Source organism: Homo sapiens, chromosome 13, assembly GCF_000001405.40.
Source record: "Homo sapiens chromosome 13, GRCh38.p14 Primary Assembly".
In the NCBI taxonomy this organism is placed as follows: domain Eukaryota; kingdom Metazoa; phylum Chordata; class Mammalia; order Primates; family Hominidae; genus Homo; species Homo sapiens.
This window is the reverse complement of record NC_000013.11, coordinates 103,237,159-103,243,518: the sequence shown is the minus strand read 5'-3', so window position 1 is coordinate 103,243,518 and position 6,360 is coordinate 103,237,159.

The window sequence follows — 6,360 nt, the reverse complement described above, 5'->3', positions numbered from 1 at the left end:
AGAAATATAGGACTTTGAAATCCCATATGGCTTAGAACCAGCCATGCACTGATGGCAAATGGAGCATGGTCCCAGTGACAGGTTCCTAGGAAGAAAAGGCAGCACTTGCTAGCTTCCCTCAGACTCACATGGCTTGGTTTTGTTTGCTGTGGTTTTTTTAAACGAACAATCTCCAAGACCAATGTGTGCAAAAGACAAATAGTATTTTCAATAGAATTCTTAAAAGTAAATAATAATTGCAAATTTTGCAAAGCATTAGAGTGTTACATCACATAATAGAAAAACATTTGTCTGGATATCAAAATTACTGTAACTCTCCTAAAATGATAAAACACTTTGGGATTTTCCTTCTTAATGGAAAGTTTTGTCAAAAACTATGGATGCCTGTTGTATATAAGAATTATAATTCTGCAAGATTATGAAAAATGATCAAATGATTTGGCCTGAGGAATCCTGTTCTAAGACTGCACAATTCCTGTTTGGAAATGACTCTTTCTTGTCCCCTTGCTAGTACATGAAGCAATCCACTGAAGTGCCCTTGCATACCTGCCTCACTTGGTGTGTACTAACTGTACTCATGGCCCCAAGGTTGCATGTCTCCCACTGCAGGGATCGTCCACATTGCCTCTGGACTTAGCTGTGAGACTTGCTTTGACCAATGGAACATCAGCCAACTTGATACAAGCAAAAACTTACACATCTTGGTTTCTCTCTTTTGCACCACTGCCTTCACCTTGAGATCATGCCCGGACTACCCTGCTGAAGAAGAAGATACAGGGAATAGACACATGTCTCCTTCCTGCTAACATAGGTTCAAACATGGGAAAGAGGGCAGACAAGATCAGCAAAGCCATCCAACCACCTATGATGCATGAAAGCAAAAACTAAGTATCTACCGAGCAAAACTAAGTATCTGTAGTTGATTCCCACTGAAGTGCTGTGGTTGTTCGTTATGCAGCATTATTGAGGCCTTAGAAAATGGATACATCTAGGTCTAGGGAAGACCTACATTCTTTAGGGGGCTTTCTTTAGCTCTTTCTTCTCACCAAGACCTACCAGTTGTAAGCTGTATTCCATCAAAATCCTGCTTGATACTAGGTAACTTATATAATGTGTGTGTGTGTCTTACAAGAATTGATCAAATTATGTCATTTTTGGTTGTTTTATTAGGAACAGAAAACCAAATACTGCATGTTCTCACTTATAAGTGGGAGATAAATAACAACAACTTACGACCATAGAGAAGAAAGCAATAGACACTGGGGTCTACCTGAGTGGAGAAAGTGGGAGGAGGGAGAGAAGCAGGAAAGATAACTCTAGGGTACTCGGCTTAATACCAGGGTGATAATATAATCTGTACAACAAACCCCCATGACACATGTTTACCTATGTAACAAACCTTCACATGTACCCCCAAACCAAAAATAAAAGCTAAAATAAGGAACTTGAATGGTATCAGGAGAGTAGAATATACACATTCCCCACATGACAATACAGAACAGGCTGCAAGGAGATAAAACCAGAAAATAACTCTGCAATACTGGGATTGGTGAGTAGGAAAGAACTTTTCTGGGCAAGAGGAGTGGCCCAGTCAAAGCTTTGAGGACAGGTGTCAGATAAAGGCTGGTGTCAGGGAGGCCAACCTAAAGGGGGAGGTGTCCTGAGAGGTCAGCAGATACTGCATGATGGCAAGATCTAAGTGCAAACTATCTCCACAGAGCTGGGAAGGCTGAGGGCATCACAAAGAATGAAAACAAGTCATGAGACTGTTTCTAGGAATACCAGCCCAATAAGAACACATTCAAATCCTCAACCTCAGAGAGATGAAAGCCAGAAACTCCATTTTAAGGAAACAAAAAATGGAAAACTTAGCTTGAAGTGGCATATTATTGGCATCAAGGTAGAAACTAAATAATTAGAACTTTTGGAAAGTCAGAGCCTGGCCAAAAAAAAAAAAAAAAGGTGGATTTAATACAGAGTGCCCCGAGTATTGAAGTCAAGTGACTTTTCTTTCTTTTGCCCTTGTAAGTTTTGAAGCATGAAAAAAATTATAAAAACTGTTTCTTGTATTGGGCTTGAAAACATAAATAAGTATGCCAGTTCAGTATGATTTAGATAATAAATTTACTTTTTTACATTTAAAAAAGTATTGATTTTAAATGCCTACCAATTTTGTAAGAAAAGTAAAATCTGCATAAGAATTAAAACATTTTCTAAATTGTATGTAACTTGAAGCAATACCTATACAGGCACTATCTGAAGACAGTTAAAACAATTATTCAGAAAATTAAAACTCTTGAAAAACATTACTAAAGCTGTTTCTGCCTAAATTATTCCAGTTGACTGTCTAAATTGATCAAATTCATCAATCATTGTTCAACTTTATACCTCACTTTGCCTATGTACAAACAAAATCTTCCTAATGGTTACTCTAATTGCAGACAATAAACTCTGAAAACCAACTATAGAGCCCTGGCATGCAGATCTTAATTATTTAATACCATCCAGCCTCCCAAAAGTGGACGCAAATTTAAATCTAAAGTAGTTCCCAGTAGGCCTCAATTGCTAGGTCTGTGTGTATGGGTGGGTGGGTGTGGGTGGGTAGGTGGGTAGGTGTGTGTGTGTACTCTTTATTGCAATTTATTATAACAGGTATATACAGTGTAGTTTACATTAAAATTCCCTGAAAACTATACATCTGATTCATAATTAGTTTTCCTTCACAAACTCAGCTATAGATTAATCTAATTACATTGCATGTATTTGAATATTGGCTTTTATTTGCTTCTGTTTGTTTTACTCCGAAGTCTCAAACACATTTGTCAGCTTTATCGCTGCAGGCAGGTAGAACTTGAGGCAATTGCTCAGTAGTTTAGAATGCCAAGAGAAGCCAAACCCTAAGCTCACTAATACAGATAAGAGTAACAAAATCAGAAAGAGTTTGCTTCATTCCATAAGAAGAAATTCATTTTAACTTCCTTGGCACTCTTGAGGTCGATACTTTTTCTATGAAATTATAGGGAGGCTCAAGGAAAATCTAATGCCACATATACTAAAATGGACAACATGGAATTCAGAGAAGCATTTCTCCTTCAACTAGTTTCTAGTGAAGGATTTTTTGTCTTTACCTTTTATGTAGGCAGATTGATTACATGGAAATAGCACCCCAGAAAATATTAGAGGAGCTAGCTAAATTAAATTGTTAATTAAATATAATTTCCTTGGTGATTCATAATATCCATATTTGGAGATGGTAAAATTATCCTCTTCCATGACTATCGTCTTGCTTCTTCTATCGGCCCTTGTTCTTTAAGAAGCCATGTTTCTGGTACATTTCCAAGATGCAGATGATCTTGATCATCATTATTGCCCATAGCTCCAAAGTCATGCTCTGGCCAGCTTCAGCTTAGACCTTCGTTTTTCATCTGTGATACCCAGACATAGACTGAATAATCCAGATATTTGTTACTGACTTTTGATGGCCAACCCCTCAAAGCCTATATTGCTTGGACTTTTAAAATTTTCACTCCCCCATCACTAGCTCCTTTTAACTATCAGCATACAGTACTACTAGTGTCACTCAGGGGGCTGTTGGAGTTACCTCACAGGAATCAAAGCTAGCAATGTCTGAAACCTTGAAAAAAACACAGTCTGGAAAAAATCCACACCACCAAAATGTTTACAACCATGAAATCAAGTTTGAATACAGTGAAGGAAGGCAGAAAAGATGTGGCAAAATTATCACATGATACCCAAGATAGACCAATTTTTTGTGAAATGGAGTGGGGTAATACACAACTCTTTGCCTTAGAGACTACAGAATATGTTAATATCTGTGTAGGAATACAGAGACTCTATAGCAGTCTTTAAGCCACTCCTATCCCTGTGCGATTGGTCATACCCAATATTCCTGGAAAGCATCACAATTGTGTGCTGGCATTCTGTAAAAAGCAGCAAATAGTAGAAGCTCAATAAATACTTGTTGAATCAATCCTTTCCCTTAGAAAATCCATCACCATGTTTATATTAAGTGCGAGGTTAACAGCTTGAGAGGCTTTCTGTGTGTTGTTTGGAAATACGGTCTATTATTTTGTTTCTACTATTAGAATACTCCTATGACTTCATTATAGAACACTTACAAAGTAAACATCAAAAGGTATGTCATTTTTTATTGCCTAAGTTTTCACTAATATGTCATCAGCATCTTGCCATGTCATTGACTATTCTTATACAGCACTGCTAATGCCTGTATAGTATTTCACTCCATGAGTTATCATTAACATTTGTTTCAATCTAACATTGATTAGCAAATAGAATAATATGTGACTCAAAGCACTAGCTCAACGTGTATTCTTAAATAAGTGAATTAAATAGACATTTACTTTTCCTCTATTAATAATAATACTACCATGAACATGTTTGTGGTTAAATCTCTGTGCACATACATAATTCACCCTTTGGATGAATTCCTAGAAGTTAAGATGCTGGACAAAGAGTACATACTTGAATTTTAATCTCATCAATATAAACTTCTCTAGAGACTGCTAAGGAACCATACATAAAAATGATTTGTATTACTCAAAGCTGACAGCTATTTGCTTCTCCAAGCTTGGCCTTTCAACTAAAAAAGAAAGAAAGCAAGAAAAGGTTCTAGTTTCCTCTTCTCTTGCTCCAGAAAAAGAGCCTACATCTAACTAACTAGGTCATATGCATTACAAGGACATCTAGCTATTAGGTGTGAAATAAAATGGGTCAGGAAAAAATATCCTTCAGTTTGATTCACTGAAGACCAAGTAGGAATGATTATAGGGTGTGCAGTACTATCCAGTCACATGAATGATCAAATTGGATGCTAATAAATGTTTTGCCTCGGTCCAATTTGGCCATCTGGCCAGTGATTTGTTTCAGCTCCTGCCAAAAAAGATTGACTCTAACTGCAATGTCAACATCATCCTCTATTCCACAGGCTGCCAGGAACCAGAGAACATCATCTGCTTCATCAGCCTGCCTTCAGACAGGACTGCATTTAAAATTTGTTGAACAAGACGTATCCTGCTTTAAAATGCTTTCCTGCAAGGAACTGCAGGAGACCTCACCTATAACCACCAACTGAAAGACAAAAGACAAATCTAGTAACATTTAAATGGCCTAAACATTATTGAGTGATATTTGCAAATATGATACTTAATTGTAAGCTTTTACTTTCATAGGGTAGTCACATAATTTAAAAATACAATCCTAAACACCTGGAAGTTCCATTAGGAAAGTGTCTCACAATACCACAGAAAATCCCTGCTACTAACTCGAGCTCAAGTGGATTTTCATACACTTTCATAAAGTATTTCAAGTGTATATTACAGCTTCTCCCTAACATTGTTTTCTAAACTTGGGCATGACCACTTAGATTATTCACTTCAATTTGACACAGTTTGTAAAATGAGTTACTTCATACACATAAAAAGTCATCGTTTTCAACTTAGGTGACTTAGACTGTGCATTTAGGGAAGTGAAGTAAGGCTCCCAGTATCCAGAACCAAAAGTAATTTAACACATTCTCATTCCTTCCCTACTTCTATCACAATGCTACTTTGGCACACGATGGCTTGTTGACCTAGAATTTTTTTTGTTTTTAGTACAGAAAATCTTAACAAAAATAATTATTCTAAAATTACCAAATGTAATTATGGGAATTATTTGATTTTACCATGGGAGAGGCACATCAAAGGATCATGATTCAGGCTTCAATGCAGTGACTTCTGGGAACAATTATTTAGTTGTTAAAATGGGGAGAAGGTATTTGGCAAATTGTTGGAGAAAAAGGGCAGGAGAAGGAGAAAAAAGAAAAGAAGGGTAAAAGAATTACCTTACTCTTTCAATTACATATTACTCATAACTGTGTGAAATGAAAAATATTTTTAAATGTTCAAAACGATATAACTAAAAGGACAATCTATCATTTAATAAATTGGATTTAATAAATATGGTCTGATAATTTAAAACATCTATTGCTACAATAAAAAGTAGTGTGTTATTGAAATGCTACAAGATAGCAACTGTGGACTGCACATTTCATCTAGGGAATCGCCACATCGCCAGTGGAAATGTGCCCTTTATTTCTTACATATTCGAAAATGCCCTCTTTTGACATATAAATGTGTTGTCAAACAAGCCAGTTCAGAAGACAGGGTAGATTAAAAATCAAACAAGATTTGTACTAGTTTCCAGATTTTTTATTATAAATCCAGAAGCGAAATTGAGGCATGGCACAGCTAAATAAGTTGACCAAAGTGGTGGAGAAAGATTTGAACCTAGGCTATGGGATTCCTAACCACCTGATAATTACATCAAAACTGATTTGTA